The sequence below is a fragment of the Homo sapiens genome, chromosome 14 (assembly GCF_000001405.40).
Source record: "Homo sapiens chromosome 14, GRCh38.p14 Primary Assembly".
Lineage (NCBI taxonomy): Eukaryota > Metazoa > Chordata > Mammalia > Primates > Hominidae > Homo > Homo sapiens.
In genome coordinates this window covers 21,983,312-22,001,676 of record NC_000014.9, presented here as the reverse complement: position 1 = coordinate 22,001,676, position 18,365 = coordinate 21,983,312, and the positions used below count along the sequence as shown (strand labels likewise).

General features: G+C 37.8%; 2 gene segments (V, D, J or C) and 1 further gene, besides 8 other annotated features; all 3 read right to left on the bottom strand.

The window, feature by feature from the left end:
* The window catches only part of TRA (T cell receptor alpha locus), a 930,229-nt gene that overhangs the window by 550,456 nt on the left and 361,408 nt on the right, over nucleotides 1-18,365 (bottom strand).
* Nucleotides 3,470-3,478: a recombination feature (nonamer).
* Nucleotides 3,479-3,501: a recombination feature (spacer).
* On the bottom strand, nucleotides 3,509-3,991 carry TRAV17 (T cell receptor alpha variable 17). The segment is given in 2 exon segments: nucleotides 3,509-3,793; nucleotides 3,940-3,991. Coding segments are annotated over 2 exon segments (337 nt in total), but the record flags the coding sequence as incomplete, so codon positions are not given.
* Nucleotides 3,786-3,793: a sequence feature (TRAV17 leader sequence).
* Nucleotides 3,940-3,991: a sequence feature (TRAV17 leader sequence).
* Nucleotides 10,701-10,709: a recombination feature (nonamer).
* Nucleotides 10,710-10,731: a recombination feature (spacer).
* Nucleotides 10,739-11,181, bottom strand: TRAV16 (T cell receptor alpha variable 16). The segment is given in 2 exon segments: nucleotides 10,739-11,021; nucleotides 11,136-11,181. Coding segments are annotated over 2 exon segments (329 nt in total), but the record flags the coding sequence as incomplete, so codon positions are not given.
* Nucleotides 11,011-11,021: a sequence feature (TRAV16 leader sequence).
* Nucleotides 11,136-11,181: a sequence feature (TRAV16 leader sequence).

The following is an 18,365-nucleotide window of genomic DNA, read 5'->3' as shown; positions in this document are numbered from 1 at the left end:
TTATGTCTATTGAATTGCACGTTGATGCATACAAACAATGAAGGTTTGCAACACATCCTCTTTCAATGGAAAGATGCAGGCTCTTGGGAGTGTGCCCTATCTGTAGTACTATGTGATACATCTGTAGTGCTATGTGCTATGTTCTATATCATAACCAAAATTTTCCAAAAACTTTTCACCATTTAAACAGCTGCAATGTCTTCATTTGTAGAGTATTATTATCCCATTTACCCTTAATTTGGTAAAAGTGACAAAAAAATCAAATTCAAGGGGATTATTCTATTAGTCATCTAGATTATTAGAAATGTACCTTCATTATTTTACATTGTCCTAAGCACACAGATCTAATAATTCTCATTTAATTTCTATACCTCAGGGATTGGTAAACTTTTCTCTATAAAAGGACAAATAGTATATATTTGAAATCATACACTCTCTGTTGCAAGTACTAAACTCTGCTGTTATAGCATGGAAGCCATCATAAGCAATGTGTAAATAGATGAGCATGGCTATTTTGCAATAAAACTTTACAAAAATAGGTGGCAGGTTGTTTTGAACACTAGGCCATAGTTTTCTGACCCCCATTATACACCAACAATTTATTCATACAATTCCAAATACCCATGGACTATAGTTTGAAAAACTCAGCCCTATTGTCTTGTGTGTTCTTTCTTTTTTTTTTTTTTTTTTTGAGACGGAGTCTCGCTCTGTCACCCAGGCTGGAGTGCAGTGGCGCGATCTCGGCTCACTGCAAGCTCTGCCTCCCGGGTTCACGCCATTCTCCTGACTCAGCCTCCCGAATAGCTGGGACTACAGGTGCCCGCCACCATGCCCTGCCAATTTTTTTTTATTTTTAGTAGAGACGGGGTTTCACAATGTTAGCCAGGGTGGTCTCGATCTCCTGACCTCGTGATCCGCCCTCCTCGGCCTCCCAAAGTGCTGGGATTACAGGCGTGAGCCATTGCGCCCGACCTCTTGTGTGTTCTTTTACTACAACATTATTTTAACTCTTAGAGGAGGCTTAAAATAAAGATATTATATTAAATAAATTAATAGGAAGAAAGAAGAGGAAAAATTGATTATCTTAGTGCTTAAGTTACTTTGGTGTTACAGATTCAAGGCTGAGCAGCACAGATAATGGTCCCTGCCCTTAAGGAGCACATAGAGTAATAATAGAGACAATTATTAATTAAATAAAGAAATAAAAGGAGAAACTGCCCATTTAAAAAGGCAGTGGTCCACAATTCTAAGAAAGCGTATTGAGCTTTCTTCTATTACTGACTCTTGAACAGACGTATGAGAACAAGTAGGCATTTACTGGGCTCTACTCTCAAGGGAAGAGAAAATAATTTTTTAAAAAGAGTAAGAATGTATCCTAAAATTGCTTTGAGGGGGTTATATAAGATAAACAAAGTGCATTCAAGAAACGTAGATAGGACCAGTATTGAAGAAAAAGATAAATTAGGAGCTTATTGTGGAAAGATACTGGAGAGGTATTAAGAGTCTAAATCATGGAGGGTTTTGTAAATCACATGAAGCAATTTTTTTTCTACTCTAAGAACCAGTGAGGACCCAGGTGGTTGACATGGTCAAATTTGCACTCTGAAAAGGTCACCCTCACTGTGTACAAAGCACTATACTGAGAAGTGATGGGGTCTGTCAAGCTTGCTGGGGGCAGAGGAGTAAGCGATTAGGGAGAATTTTAAATTTGGGTGTGGAGGTGAATTAGGTTATAGAGGTTGTAATGTCTTCTGGAAAACTTAGTAGGTGGTACACTCAATAGAACTTGAAAATACATTGGATATGGTAATTCAAAAATAACTATGAACCAAAAATATTATGAGTCCTAATATGTCCTAAACTGAGGGTCTGGCAGAAACTTCTAATTGTCTGTAAAATGTCCATCATCACCTATTTTTTTTACTAATAGAACCCAAATTTTGCTGTGAATAGAAATATACTTAGATAATAATCCTGATATTCTAGCCTCCCTTGCAGATAGGAGGAGGTGGAAACATCGAATACCACTCTAGCAAATGAGTGTAAGCAGAAGCCATTGGGCGGAGCTTCTGGAAAAGACTGACTCAGCCAGCATGTACATGTGCCCTTGACTTTCTCCTTCTTTCAGTCTGGAAGGTGTATAAAGTGGAAGGATCTCTATCAGTCTCTTGAAAGTGTAAAAAAAAGAGTGACACATTAAGAGTGAAAAACAGTAAGCTAGAAAGACCCTAGTTCCTTTGTAACATGATGAAGCTACAGCACCAGCCCTGAATATTACAGAGCTCCTTTATGTGGAAAAAAACTCGTCAATCTTGTTACAAACATTATTGTTTGGGTTTTTTAAATGTGAACCTGAGCCAATCTCTTACATATATAGAAGATATTCATTACAATTGAAATTCATCACTTTATCAGAGGCTGATTGAGTAAGCCAGAATTGAGCTTAATAGTCCAGATCTTCAAAGATACTCTAGTGATTCTGGTACAGCTAATATTAATGGGTCAAGGTCTGACACAACCTTTCCCTGCCCTCCCCCACTTTTCTCACCAAAGCATGAACCTAAATACAAATGCTCTAATTTTCTCCACAAACACATTTTCAGTAGTATCTAAACTGTGTCAAGAAAACTATAGTCAGTATTTATTTCTCAGTAGGAGCAAGAATAAATAGCTGAAAAACTGTTATGTATTTGGTACTAAAAATGCCTGCTTTCAAAACACAGCGTTTTAGGACCTGGTAGTGTCAAACACCTATCTCTCCTTTGGATGGGGAAAAGTTGTTACTTTCTTATAAATTCCCATTTTGCCTAATAGAGACATTGAAGCTTGGGAATCATACAACTAATAAATGGTGAAATCAGATCCAGATATTTGTCACTATCACTCCAAAGATTCAGAAAATTGTCTGTCTTATTATGCAATGGTTTTACTCCTCAGCTCTAAAATGAAAAGCTTGGTTGAGAGTCCTAGGACCTCTTCCAATTCTAATGCTTAATGAATCTACTGCTTCTTATACAAGAATTAGAGGAACCTAAGAGCCACCTCATGCACCTTAAAGACCCACTGATGTCTTGGGAGGGCTGCACATAGGACAAATGAGACCTTCTAAAACTGTGCAGCCTTCCTCCTCTTCCACAAGTGCCCAGTGATTTTTTTCCCTAATAAAATTAGGGATTAAGTAATATTTTGGGCTCATTGATCCATATCCTTTATTTCAAGTGAGGAAATTGAAGGCTGCTACACTGACAATGTCCCTATGTAGCCAGGATTAGCAGAACTGAGCCTGGCATTTCCATTTCCTGTTCCAAATTTCATGCCTTTTCCCCTAGTCCAAGATGCTTTTTAAAAAATCACGAATTTGAAAGAGTTCCCCTTTTACTTTGCCAGCTGTTTGTAGACTCTTCTTGACTGAAAGACATAACCACTAATTCTACCCACTATTAGGGCTTCTAAGAAGCTGCTTTGGCAGGGTTTGCGTAGAGGCTGCAGGTTCCTGGGGAACACTGTGCGTCCGTAGCACAGAAGTAAGAAGCAGTGTCTGCTGCCCGGGAAGCCGTGATCAACAAGGAACTGCTTTTCTTGGAAGTGTCAAGCGTGACTCTTAATCTTCCACTGTGTTTCTCTCTTTCATTTGAACGTATTAAAATTAGGTGGACAAGGCCTCTACCTGAATTTTGTCTATACCACTGTAAATTGTTTATACTAGTTTTGTAACTGCAGTTCATGGTGGCATTTTCACCCTCCTGGATGCTCAAGGCCTGAGGATCCTCTTCTCCCTGTTGACTGTTCACCCCTAGGCAGAAACACAGGTCCGGGACCAGGAGTCAGTCATTACATTTTCAAATTACATTTCCAAATTAATAAGAACACTTCACCCCTCAGCCCTGTGGGCTCTAAAATTTGGTCTTGCCATTCCCATCACCAAAATCCCCAACTCACTAGCCAGTTGAAGCCATAGAATCACCAAAGACACTCCCAGGAGAGTTTCCATTCTTCTTCCTTATTGAAATCACAGAAGACCTGAAATGGAGCAAGGCTCCTCAGTCACAGATGAGCTCTCTTTACTGGGTGAATCCCTAGTCTTTCTGTCCCCTAGTCTCAGGTTCCTCCCTAGCCAGTCACAGGCAAGCTCAGTCCTTTCCTTTCAATGCAGATAGGCTGATTTAAAGCCAAGTTAGTCTGAGGAGAGGGAGGCACTGCCCTCTTGTGATCGTAACATCATCCTGCTGCCATCAGGACGTGTGTTCAGAGCTGACTCAGAAGAAATTACAAAGCTATTCCAGTCTCTGCCTTTATTGAAATCTAATTCTAACTTAGAATAGGAACAGATACATTTCAATTCAGGTAAGAACTCAACTACGAAAGACAGTTGGTGCTCAATATTTTCAGACTACCTCTGAGAAGCACTGTTAAATTCCCTGTAGTTACTATGACCTCTGATCATGTACCTACGAGCTTCCTTTTAAAAAATTTTCCCTGGAATGAGATTATATACAAGTCAAGGTTTTTACTGATGGGCAACAGAAATGGACTCTGCCTAAATTAAGTAGAAAAGGAATAAATTAATGAATACTGGATTTACCTCAGAATCTCCAGTAGGGTCAGAGAACTGAACTCAAAAGCTATGAAGTCAGCAGCAGTACAGAAAATCACTCTGGAGAAGCACTCCTCTGAGTATCCCACTGGCTCCTTTCCTGAGCTCCAGATACTGCCCGTAGTTTATGCAAGACTGTTCACGCAGGACAATGTATGCAGCTACAATTCCACTGCCTTGTAGCCTGTAAACTCTCATGTCCACCTTGTTGCAATTACCACCACTCTCAAAAAGGAAACTCTTACTCATTTTTTGTTTGTTTTTTGTTTTTGTTTTTTTGCAAAAGTAACTCCTGAGTGAAAGTTAGGGAACAATTCATCTAATTGTTGGAGCCCAAGCCATGTGCCCACATCAAGCCTAACCAGTAGGCTGTATTAGTTTACCAGGGCTCCCATAACAAAGTATCACAGACTGCATGGCTTAAACAACAAACATTTATTTTCTCATGATTTTAGGGACTACAATTTCAAGGTCAAAGTGCTGGCAGGTTTAGTTTCTTTTGAGGCCTTTCTCCATGACTCATAAATGGTTGCCTTCTTGTTGTGTCTTCACATGGTCATCCCTTTGCCTGTGCTATCTGTCCCAATCTCCTCTTAAGGATGCCAGTCTTATTAAATTAGTGGTTACCCTCAAGACCACCTTTTAACTTTACCTTTAAAAGTTCTGTCTCCAAATAGAGTCATGTTCTGAGGTACTGGGGGTTAGCGCTTCTACGTCCACATTTTGTGGAAACACAGTTCAGCCCATAGCAGTGAATACCTAGAAGTTTTAGTTTCTATGGCAGGAGGCAGGCGGGTCCAGGAAGAGAGGAAGTTTTATAGTCAGGCCATCGAAGTCAGGTTTACATCTATCAGTTCAGTAGCTGTTTCTGTCTTCTGTGCCTACATTATCTTGGCTGTAGAACATGGATCATGAGTAAATAATAATACTACCTTTTCAGAGCTGTTGAAGGTTAACGATGAGATCATAAAATGTCATTTAGCACAGTGCCTGACATTCATTAGTGACTGAAAAATTATTATTGTTATAAGAAAATGGGTCCTGATGCAGAGCAGTCAAAAAGAATAGCAAGAATCTTCTAGAGTATTTTATAAATGTTCCCAAAAATTGATTTTAAGGTATTTTGTGTGTAAAACAGAGAGAGAGATGGGAAAGATGAGAAGACAGGAGAACAGAGAAAGGAAAAAAAGAAATGAGAAGAAGAGATTGCTGGCTAGAGCAATATGTAGATTGGAGGGTTCCAAGACATAAGTCTAGAGGAAGGGTCTGGGTCAGATGACTGCCAAAATAAATCTTTATGTTTTTCAGTGCGAAATAAAGACATATGAAAGCTTTTTGAGCAAAGAACCAGTGTTATTTAACAAACTGAAATTTTAATCTGTCTGCTCTCTTCCAGATAATTTTGAAACAGTCTGTGAGCAAATTTAGAATAGTAGTTAAAAGATGTACCCTGGTTCAAAGAAATTAAATGATGTGTCTAATGTCTCACAATGAGGAGGTCAAGAATATAGTACTTTTAATATTTGTATGTATTTAGCTGTATCTGCAAAAAGTAACCAGAAATATTGCTGACCTCTTGGGAAAACTGTGAGATAGAGTTAAAACTGTGAGGTAGAATAAAACTATTTTTATAATAGTGCTGATATTACTTGAGTCTTTCACTGTGTTGACATTTACACTGATGAAGCAAATGCAATTGCTGATGTTTTAACACAGGTAAAATAAATGAACCCAAAATATTCTAGTAGTCATTGTACATAATCATTACCACCACACTGGCAAGAGAAAAAGATTTTACTCAACAATGTCCTAGATGTAGAAGCAAAATTTTTTAAATTAAATCTTGACCCTTGAGAGTACACCGTTTAAATATTCTGTGTGATGACATAGGACGTATGCATAAAGTTCATCTGTGGTGTACTAACACGGTGGTGCCTCAAGAGAGAAAGACACTGGAGTATTGTTTGAGTTGTGAGCTAAACTAGCTGTTTCTCATAGAACTTTTTTTTTTTTTTTTTTTTTTTACTTGAAGGCATGAGTGACAGAACAGCAGATTTGGGTAGTTGGAAGGTATGTTCTTGAAAATGATAAAATGTGAGCCTGCCATTTTGAGGAAAACAACTAATAGTGGTTGTCACCCATGATAATATTTGAGCTTCCAAGTGAAAATTAGAATTTTGGAAAATTTGCATCCACTACCATCGGCTTCACACCTTCCCAACTCTTAGCGGTTTTACTGATAAAATTGGTGGTGAGAGTAAAGAATGCAATTTTTGAAACTATAGTACTGTATTTGTTTTGAAATTATTATAAATCCATGGCAAGTTGCCAAAATAGTTTATAGAACCCTATGTACTCTTCACATAGCCTCTTCCAGTGGTGACATCGTATATAACTGAAATTCAATATAAATACCAGGAAATTGACATTGTTCAAATACCACTAACTAGACTACAGGTAGTATTCAATTGTCACTATTTTCTTGCTTTTCTCCACGTGTGTGCATGCATACTTGTGTGTGGTTCTTGATTTTATCTCATATAACCACCAACATAATCAAGATTCAGACTGTTCCATCAACATAGAATTCTCTCATCCTAACCCTCTATATGCACAAACACCCTCCCATGCCCAATCTCTGTCCCCTAGCAACCATCTCTTATAGTTCTGTTATTTTGAGAATGTTATATATATGGAATCAAACTGTATGTAACCTTTGGGAATTGACCCATACAGGTTGTTCCATGTATCAACAGTTTGTTCTTTTTTTTTCATATTATTCCATGGTATGAACTATGATAGTTTATTTAACCATTTACCCGTTGAAAAATATCTAGGTTGATTCCAGTTTTTGGCAATTATGAATAAAGCTACTATGAATGTTGTATAAGACTTTATGTGAATGTTACTGGGATAGATGTCCAATGCACAATGGTGTGATCATATGATAAGTGCATGCTTAGTTTTATAAAAAAACTGCCAGATTATTTTCCAGAATGGCTGTACTATTTTACAATCCCACCAGCAATGTATAAAAGTGTCCATTTCTCTACATACTCACCAACATTTAGTATTATTACTGTTTTGTATTTTAGCTGTTCTAATATGTTTATAGTGATATCTCATTGTGATTTTTATTTTCATTTTGCTAGTGAAGAATGATATTGAATATCTTTTTATTTGCTTATTTTTCACCCATATTTCTACTTTGGTGAAATATCTATTCTATTTCTAATTGGATTATTTATTTGTTTCTTTTTTACATTGAGATTTGCGTGCTCTTTATTCATCGTAGATATAAGACTTCTGTCTGATGTGTGATTTATAAACATTTTCTCTCTGTCTATAGGTTGCCTTTTATTCTATTAACAAGGTCTTTCTACAATGCCAAAGGTTTTAATTTTATTTAAGGCTAATTTATCGTTTTTTTCTTTTATAGACTGCACTTTTTGTGTGCATGTCCAAGAACTCACTATCTAGCTCTAGTTCTCAGCTATTTTCTCTAGTTCATGATATACGAGTTTAGGATTGGTACAATGATGTGCCGAAGGTCTTGAGGTGAGTTTTATTGATAAAACTATTGTCTTCATAAGCAAGCTATTTTTCCAATTAAGAAAACTCTTAACCTGATTAGGCATCTGTTTGCCCAGATGAACATATTGTTTGCCTGTATTAATTGGTTTGACACGGTTCCCTGAAGAAACCAGTGAAATCACATTAGTGGAGGTTGACTCACATGCTCACAGGAGAGGATTGCTGATTTTTCTATTTGTTTAAATGAATTTATTTAACATTCCTTCACTGTGTACATATTGTGTGCTCCATACTGTGTTAGAAGGTTAGATTAAAGCCAGAGAGAACATAACGGCCCTTCTCTGGAACATTCAGCTCAACAGGAAGAGGAGATACGATAAAGTTTTAATATACCGTGATGGTTACCAGAACATGTTGCAAAGTTGTTAGGAAGGGGGCGAGTAGCTCCAGAAGCCATACAACACATGTAGAGAGAGCTACATCTAAAACCCGGGGGATTTTTTTGAGGAGCCTAATGGCACTTTCGTGCCCAATAGTAAAAGTTAAGGGAAACCTGCAGCAACAAATTAAAAGCCATGACTATTGAGAACTCAGACTCTTCGAGAATGAAGATTTTTGTCATTCCACCAGGTAAATAACTCCAATCCACCGATGACGTGGATGAGGGCAGAAGAATATAAAATACGTAACAAGAGAAGGAAGCTGTCTATGTCAATTGAAGCCCAGGACCAAGTCTGGAATCAAGGAATGTGGTAGCTTTCTGTATTTTATCTTTGCTCATTATATGTAAGTGTTTCTTTGTATATGCTGCCATTTTATTCTCTCTTTCTTATCATAATTATTTTATATGTAAATTATTGGAGATTAGCTTTATAATTTAGTCTGTATATAACAGCATATTCAGTAGAACTTCCTCTGAACTTGAGATGTGGCTGATACAGTCAGGGATTCATACAGTGGTTGTTGGGACTATGGATCATCTCATTTGGGAGAAAGAATGAAAACTCCACTTGTTCAAGGACAGCTTCAGCTTATTAGGTAGCAACATAGTGTCATTTCACTATTGTTTGGAAGTTGAAATGTGCATATAGGAATGCATATGGACCAGGTGCAGTGGCTCATGCCTGTAATACCAGCACTTCGGGAGGCTGAAGCGGGTGGATCACCTGAGGTCAGGAGTTCAAGGCCAGCCTGGCCAAAATGGTGAAACTCCGTCTCCACTAAAAATATAAAAATTAGCCAGGCATGGTGGCAGGCACCTGTAGTCCTAGCTACTCGAGAGGCTGAGGCAGAAAAATCACTTGAACCTGGGAGGTAGAGATTGCAGTGAGCGGAGATTGCGCCACTGCACTCCAGCCTGGGTGACAGAATGAGACTCCGTCTCAAAAAAAGAAAGAAGAAAGAAAAAAAGGAATGCATATGAAAGATCAGTAGCCCAAGGGATAGGGTGTGACAGTTATCAATGTATTACCTCTCAGCTCCAAATCCACCCTAATTACCCTATTTGTGAACTGGATCTGGACCCTCTAAATATTTGATATTAAGCTTTGTCAGTAGAGGGGGCTGGAAGGACCCCGCAGAAGGATGACGCTTCTCTTCCTGGTTCTGGTATGTTTTCCACACTTCTTGTCCACTATGCTTCGTTGGCCTGTAGGACACCAGTGGCACTCCCCTCCAGCAAGCCCGACAGGTGGTTTCTTGGCAAGTTTCACAGCCACCACAAGCAAGTTCAGCAGCACTCGTTTGCGGGCTTCCCATGAATTGTGTTGTAATCCTGGTAGGTATTTTTCTGCTTGTCAGTATTTTTCTCTGGCACCTCAGCAAACTACTCCACTATGCAGCAAGCTCCAGCTACACACTCTCAATGAGATCTGAATCATAGCCTTGGCAGGAGGGGTCATGCTTATGCCAATCTGTTCCTTTCCTGGGATTCTACCTTAGTCCTAGAGACAGGAACTTCTGCTTACATGTGCATTCCTATATTCCTTAGAGGTTTTTTTACCCATTAGTAGTTAATTACTTATTATTATTTAATAAATCTTTATATTAAACTTCACTGGGCTTCTTTTTTCCTGGCTGGACACCAATTGAGATAGGAGGAGTCTATGAAACTCATGGAAAGAAGGGTAATAGATATAGAAAGATGAACAATCATAAGCCATGAAACAGCAGAGCACTTTGAGGAACTATGCTCAGGTATGTGGTGACAACCACATGTGGGGATCACGTGGGGCAGCAGAGGAGTTGAAGAGGTAGGACTGCACCATGGAAGCCTGGACAGTACCTCTGAACAAAGAAAAGAATACTTTTTATGCAGTGCAATATAGTTTTTATTTCGAAAGTATGTTTCCAGTACTACTAGACAAAATAAATACATTTACTATTTTTAAATTTAATTTAAGCAGGGTAAATAATGAGAATTTTTTGGACAAAATTATGAGGTTAATCTATAGCTAACTGATGACTGATGATATAATATCTACGAGATAAACTCAATATTAATTTCTGGAGAAAGAATGCCCTGCTGTGGCCATACAGAGAGTTTGCAAAGAAATATTTCCTGTATTTAAAGGGTTTGTGTTCTGCTTCCTTGCAAAACCAGCTACTGTGCCACTTAGAGCACAGTAATACATGGCTGAGTCTTCCTCTTGAGCAAATGGTTTCTTCAGGTGGAAAGATGTCTCGCCTTTGTTAAGGTCAGCAGTGAAGCCTTTGATGCTCTCTCTAGAGATGTGTCTCAAGAGTAACTGGAGGCGTTGTCTGGAGTACTGGACATACCAGAAGAGTTCAGGACTCCCAGAATAGGAATAGTTGCACTTCAGCTCCACTGGGGCCCCTTTAAAGACAGAGAGGAGCTTCTCGGGCTGAGTCACTCTCTGGGCTCTTGTTCCTCCTATAACACCAATTCTGGATCAGGAAAAGTCTTACAGACTGGGGATAATATTCATTAAAGTTATTCTAAATCAGAATACCATAGAAAAATAGAACAAAAAGAGGCTTTACTTACTGAGTATAAATATTATCACAAGCACTGAGATGAGGGTGGGCTTCATGTCTGACCTGTGGAGAAACAGGAAGCTATTTTCTGGAGGTCTTTTCTGGAAACGATTCAGCCACATAGACACTCTGACAGAGAGGTGGATGAGTTTACCCGGCATGTATAGCCAAAAGCTATTCTTCAAAAAGATCAGGTTGTTTTTGGCTATCAAATTCAATTTGTGTAACATCTCTCTCTAGAGGCCAAATACAATACTGCAGCTAACTCAGGCTTCAGGAAGCCTTCAAATTCAGAGAATGAGAATTTCCTCCTCAGTAAAAGTGTGATGCTATACTAATTGCAATAGAATGTTATTTTTAAAATCCACATATAGGGCTTAATGAAGTAGAATACAAAGTTCAAATATACAAATACATTTGGAAACTTAGTTAAAATGGGGGAAAATGTGCAATCCTAACAATCATTTGGAAGTTAACAGATAAGTTAGGATGCCTACCTTAATACCTGTTATCAAATAAAGTTCAAAGGACGTAACATTTAATATTTTAAGTAAAATAAAAAATTTTTAAAATAAATTTAGAATGGTGATGGATTTTCTAAGCATAACAGTCAAAAAACATAAGAAAAAATATTGATCGATTACACTTCATAGAAATTTAAATTTCTACACAGATATTTTAGTGAAATGTTTAAACATTGCCAGATCAAGTTATTTTATTTTCCGTCCACCATCATTGATTCTGACCTTCCCCACACAGGAAATGGCCCTTTGGGATTTTAGTTCTATACACTTTAAAAAAAAAAAAAGAAAAAAGAAAAGAAAAGAAGGCCATAAAAAAAGGAACAATCATTTGGCTCAGAAAGACGGAAATTCTAGAAAAATGGTAGATTGAAAGAGTCCCCAATCCCTGGTCCTTAACCAAAGATTTTCTCCAGCTCCCAGTCAAGCTGTGTTGAGAGAGCTCAAGTGAGGTGTCCCATTTTGGGGTCAGATATAAATCTGGGGTCAAGTAGACAGAAGCTCCGGGATTAAGAGCAGAAAACTATGGGTCATGGAGATAGCGTCTCCGGCAGATATATTTTTTTCTAAAAAAGAAAACTAATTCTCTTGAGAAAGTCTCTCCTCTGGCCTCCAAATAGCTGAGAAAAAAGTAAGAGATATGCTGTTACTTAAATGAGGTGGAATACAATGAGATCAGGGAGCAAAGAGATTTTCCTCTAGTTTTCCTGCAGTGTACGGGCGTAATTGCTGACGTCAGTACCCTGCTGAGTGCCGCACTGCTGACTAGAGACACAGAAATGTCTAGGTTTTTATGCTCTCAGGATTGCCTCCACTTAAAGTACCCAGTAATCGGACAAGTCAGGAGGGGAGTGAAGAAAGGGAAAAGATATCTCAGAGACAAATGGGAGCCTCATCTGGATCAAGTACAGCCTGAAAAAATTATCAGGGTCAGTGGCCCAATTTCCTTAGCCAAAAAATCAGGACATGTGATTTGAAAAGTGATTGTGATTTTATTTATAAGAAAGCTCTCACAAAGAAAGAATATCTCATCGAATGCATCGTTTATTTAATCACCCTTAAAGGAGTAAATACAATACAATTAAATTAAGAGAATTCTGTTAACATAGGACATATAGTCATCATGAACATATAAAATGTCTCCAGTGAGACTTTGGTTGATAGAGAAATAGCACGTGTATATGATGGCCACCCCAGCTTATTTCCATCTCTCTTCTTCTATCCAACACTTCTCCATTCACTTTGCAGCCCCACCTGGTCAATTCTGCTCTGTGAACAAGAGGTAGAGGTCACATTTTTTATTGTGGTAAAAAAACACATAACATTAAATTTACCATCTTGACTATTTTAACATGTACAATTCAGTAGTGGTAAGTATCTTCACATTGTCGTGCATCAGATCTCTAGAACTTTTTAACCTTGCAACACAGAAACTATATGAGGCATAGACCACATTTTGAAATTCAGTTAAATGTGTCATCTTTTTTTCCCCCAACCTCTTATTTCTTTTACTCTCTTTTATCCTCTCTCTGAATATTTTCATTATTTTTTTCTCATTTCTTCTCATTTCCTTTTTCTTGTTTTTCTAGTTTCAAAGGAGGTATAAAAGAAGGTGGAAATTATTGAAATAATTTCAAAGTCAGAATGGAGACTCATATTTTAGAAGTTTTAGTCATAAAAATTAAAGCTGTAAGGCTTCCAGCTTTATCATTTCCCTTGTTGATTTCTAAGATCAGTCTTCTTGGGAGACCGTCTCTGTGACACCCATCACAGCCACAGAACATCTTTGCAGATGAATAAATGGAGACTCCCCCTGTCCGTTTCATATATGACTAGTTCAGATGCTTTGCTAACTGATGCTAACTCTCAGTTTTTCGCTGAGTCAGCTATCTCAGAACTTGAGGGAAAATTTCCTCATTTAGAGTAAAGCCTAGAGAGCCTCCTAGTGGTCTGAAACCATCAGGCCCACTAACTCATCTGTGGAGTCCCAGAGCCTTCATCCCAATTCTTTCCTGAGGAACCACCCAGATTGTCAAGAGCAAAAAAACTGTCAGGCTTATGGTGATTTTTTTTTTTTAAAAAAAGGAAACTGGTTTCTTCCTCCAAATTCCATGTACAAGAGATTACCATATTAAAATATTTTATCAAATTGCTTCCTCAAGGTTTAATGTGATTTCTCCAATTTATTTCAAAGTAAGTCTTTAGTAATTTATTGAGGTCTACTGTAAGCTAGATCTTGTGCTAGGTCTTACGAAATTAAAAAATTAGTAAGACATTTTCTCTACTCACAAGACATTGCAGTTTAGTGGGAAAGACAAACATGCACATGTGTGTGTTTTCATATATATCAAGTAACACCTCAAAAAGTACAAAATGAACCCAGAAATAAGGAGCCATTTCTTAAAACAAAGGATGGTTAGACAAAGATTTAAGAATATGATCATTGTTGTCTGTTCCTAGAAAAGATAAAACAGAATGCAATCAAGAAGCTAAATAAGCTTGTGAGTTGAATAGAGGCCCTTACTAAATGAAAATGAAAGAAGAGCAAATGGACAAAGATGTAGAAAGAAATTGGAGTTGGAGCCTATTTCTACAAAGATGTAGAAAGAAATTGGAGCCTATTTTTTTATTATTAATTTAAAATTATTGCAGAACACGTGGATGAATACATACTCAATATTTATACAGTTTAAATTTTTGTCTGACTATAACTTTCAAGCACACAGCAGTTTGCAATGTGTTTGGTACCCAATTATATGTCCTGATAACCTATTGATGTTAACATGTTTGCTTCCTAATATTCCATAGTAAAGATTTATTACAGTTTCTGTAGCCATTCTCTGAGAAACATCTTGTGTTTTAATTTTCACTATTACAAAAATAATCTGCAGTAAATATTTTGTGCATGGCTATTTGGTGGAATAAAGTGTAGAAATAAGCCATGTGGTTACCTGGAGTACTAGTACACAAGGCAGAGAAATGAGCAGCTGCAAAGACCTTGAGGCAGGAAAATAATTGGTATGTTAGAGCAACAATAAGTGCATTGAGGCTGGAGAGTGGGAGTAAGTAGGAAGGTGGTAGCTGATGTCAAATGTCAAAGATATGGCAGGGAGCTAAATGGACTTGTATATTATAGTAAAGCATTTGGTTTTCCTTTGAGTGAGATGGTAAGACATTTCATAGTTGTGAGCACAGAAATGAAATTATCTGAATTATGTTTTAAAGAGATTGCTTCTCCTGCTGCATGGAGAACAGACAGAAGAGGAACAATGGCAAAAGAAAGAAGTTCAGTTAGGTTTCTTTCAATCAACTAGGCAAGAGATTACTGTGGCTTGGATCAGAGTGGTAGCAGTAAAGGTCATGAGAACTGGTTGATTATGGGGATATTTTGAAGAAATGGCTGATAGGAATTCCTAGTGGATCAAGTGGGGATGTGAGAAAAGTGATAAGACAATGATGATTTCAAAGTTTTTGGCTAAGGGGATTAGAAGATTTGGTAAATGGAGTTGTCTTTTACCAAAATGAAGAAATGTTCACAAGAAGCGAGTGGGATGTAAGGAAGGCTTAGTGAGTATAGAGGTCAAATTCAGTAGACTATTTTCAGATATATTAAGTGGAGGATGTCAAAAAGAAGATGTCAAATAGATTATTTGATACTCAAATCCAGAATCCAGATGAGTTATCTGGGATTCAGTTATAAGTTTGGATATTTAAATGGGATTTAAAGCCAAGAGACTGAATAAAACCAGCTGTGAATAAAGTATTTATAGAGGAAAAAGATTTTCAAGGATAAATTTCTAAGGCTTGCCAATGTTTAAAGATTAGTTAAATGTGGGGAAAAAACAGCAAAAAAGACTGAGAAGGAACAACTGACAATACTGAAGCAGAGGGAAAAAAGAGTGGGATTTCTAAAAACCAATAAAGAAAGCATTCCAGGAAGGAAGTGTTCTACAATGTCAAATGTCACTATGCCATGTAAGATAACTCAAAAATATTAGTTGTAGCCATAAATGCATGCATATATAAGTTTAAAAGGCTAAATTTTTCTATTAAGATATAGAAATTATCTGAATGGTTTTCATATCCAGCCTTCTACTGCTTAAGAGGCACAGCTAAAAGAAATATCAAGGAAAGTTTAAAGTGTATGATGGAGCTCTCATTGCAGGGTGGCCTGCTGGCACTCAGGCAGGACCACCATGCCCACAGTGAAAACCACATTCAACTAGATGCCCAAGAGGAGGTCAGTTCTGGTGAAGGGCAAATAAAGAAGCCCATGAGAACAGGAAGAATTCTGTCCGTGAAAGGTGTAACATCAGAAAGATGGCAAAAAAGAAATCCCTGGACCCTCTTTTCCCCGATGGACACACCAATTCAATAGCAATAAATAAATCAATTCACTTGTGAAAAATCCAGTAACTAGTTCAGAGTCTCCAGTACCTTGAATGAGCAAGCAACCAACCACATCAAAGATGACAGGAGGGTTTCTGACATTTTCCTACCCCCTGTACTGTGTCCCATAAATAAGAGGAAAGCCCCAGTTTCAGCCTCTCCCTGGGGAGGGAAAGACTTGGACATTACATCCAACATTCTAGCTTTGCCACAGGCTGCCTGAGAGACTGGCTTCCATCACACCTGTCAAGGAGCACTGATAGGACCCAGTGTATTCCCGATGCATAGGGTCACTGAAAACAAAGAGGGCAGTTTTCGTTGTTTCATTTTTTGAGGCAGGATGTCACTGTGTTGTCCAAGCTGGAGTGCAATGACAGCATCATGACTCACTGCAGCCTCAAACTCCTGGACTCAAGTGATCATCCCATCTCAGCCTCCTGAGTAGCTGAGACTACAGGTATCTGCACACTACCCCACTAGGTCAATATTTCTATTTTTTGTGTAGAAGGAGTCTCACTGTTACCCAGACTGGTCTCAAACTCTTGGCCTCAAGCATTCCCACCTCAGCCTCCTAAAGTGCTGAGATTACAGGTGGGAGCCACCATGCCCAGCCGCAAAACAAGTCTCAACAAATTTAAGAAAGTGAAATCATACCACGTATTTTTTCTAATGAGAATGGAATAACACTAGAAATAAATAGCAGATGCAAAACTAGAAAATTCCAAAATATATGGAAATTAAACATCATATTCTTGAGCAACAAATTGGTCAAAGAAATCAAAAGGCACATTAGAAAATGTTTTGAGATACAAACACAAAAACACAACATATCAAAATTTATAGAGTGAGCAAAAGCTGTACTAATAGGGAAGTTTATAGAAATAAATACCTGAATTCAAAAGGAAGATCTCAAACAAAAAACATAACTTTACATCTCAAAGAACTAGAAAAAAAGAACAAGTGAAGTCCAAATTTAGTAGAAAGAAGGAAATAATAAATATTAGAGCAGAAATAAATAAAACATAGAGTAGAAAATAACATAAAAATAAGCAAAACTAAGTTTTGAAAACATAAGCTAAATTGACAATCTTTTAATTAGACTGAAAAAGAAGAGAGAAGATTCAAATAAACCAAAAATGTAAGAGAAGACATTACAATGGATGCCACAGAAATAAGAAGAATCTTAAGAGACTATTACAAACAATTATACACCAACAAATTGGAAAACCTAGAAGAAATGCATAAATTTATACAAACATATAACCTACCAAGACTGAATCATGAAGAAATAAAAAAATCTAAACAGATTTATAACTGGTAAGGAAATTGATTCAGTAATCCAAAACCTCCTAACAAAGAAGACAAAAGACCTGACAGCTTCATTAGTGAGTTCTATCAACCATTTAAAGAAGAATTAACTCTAATCCTTCTTAAATTCTTCCAAAAAATTCAAAGGGGAATACCTCTAAACTTATTTTATGAAGCCATTATTACCCTGATATCAAAGCCAGACAAAGACACTACAAGAAGGTATACAGACCAATATTCCCGATGAACATAGATGCAAAAATCCTCAGTGAAATACTAGCAAACCAAATTCAATAGCTCACTAATAGGATCACATACAATAACCAAGTGGAAGTTATCCCTGGGATGCAAGGATGTTTTAACATATAAAAATGAATGAATGTGACACACTACATAACACAATGAGGGATAAAAATTACATGATCATCTCAATAGATGCAGAAAAAGAATCTGACAACATTCAACATCCTTTCATGCAGGATGGTTCTCTGGGTGGTCTTGGACCAACCCAGTTCTCTCCACTTTCTTGTTTGTGGTTCTCAAGAATAACTGTAGAATGGGCTGGGCGCGGTGGCTCATGCCTGTAATTCCAGCACTTTGGGAGGCCGAGGCGGGTGGATCACGAGGTCAGGAGATCCAGACCATCCTGGCTAACACGGTGAAGTCCCGTCTCCACTAGAAAATACAAAAAAAATTAGCCGGGTGTGGTGGCGGGCGCCTGTAGTCCCAGCTACTGGGGAGGCTGAGGCAGGAGAATGGTGTGAACCCGGGAGGCGGAGCTTGCAGTGAGCCGAGATCGCGCCACTGCACTCCAGCCTGGACGACAGAGCGAGACTCTGTCTCAAAAATAAATAAATAAATAAATAAGAATAACTATAGAATGTACTGGGAATGTAACATCTTCAGACAGGAATGAAATGGCTGGAACAGGCTGGCTGTATTTCAGATACCCCCTAGAAACAGTGTCCTTCAGTACTTTTTGGCCCAGGGTATCATATTACCCAGGGGTCTAAAACCTAGGG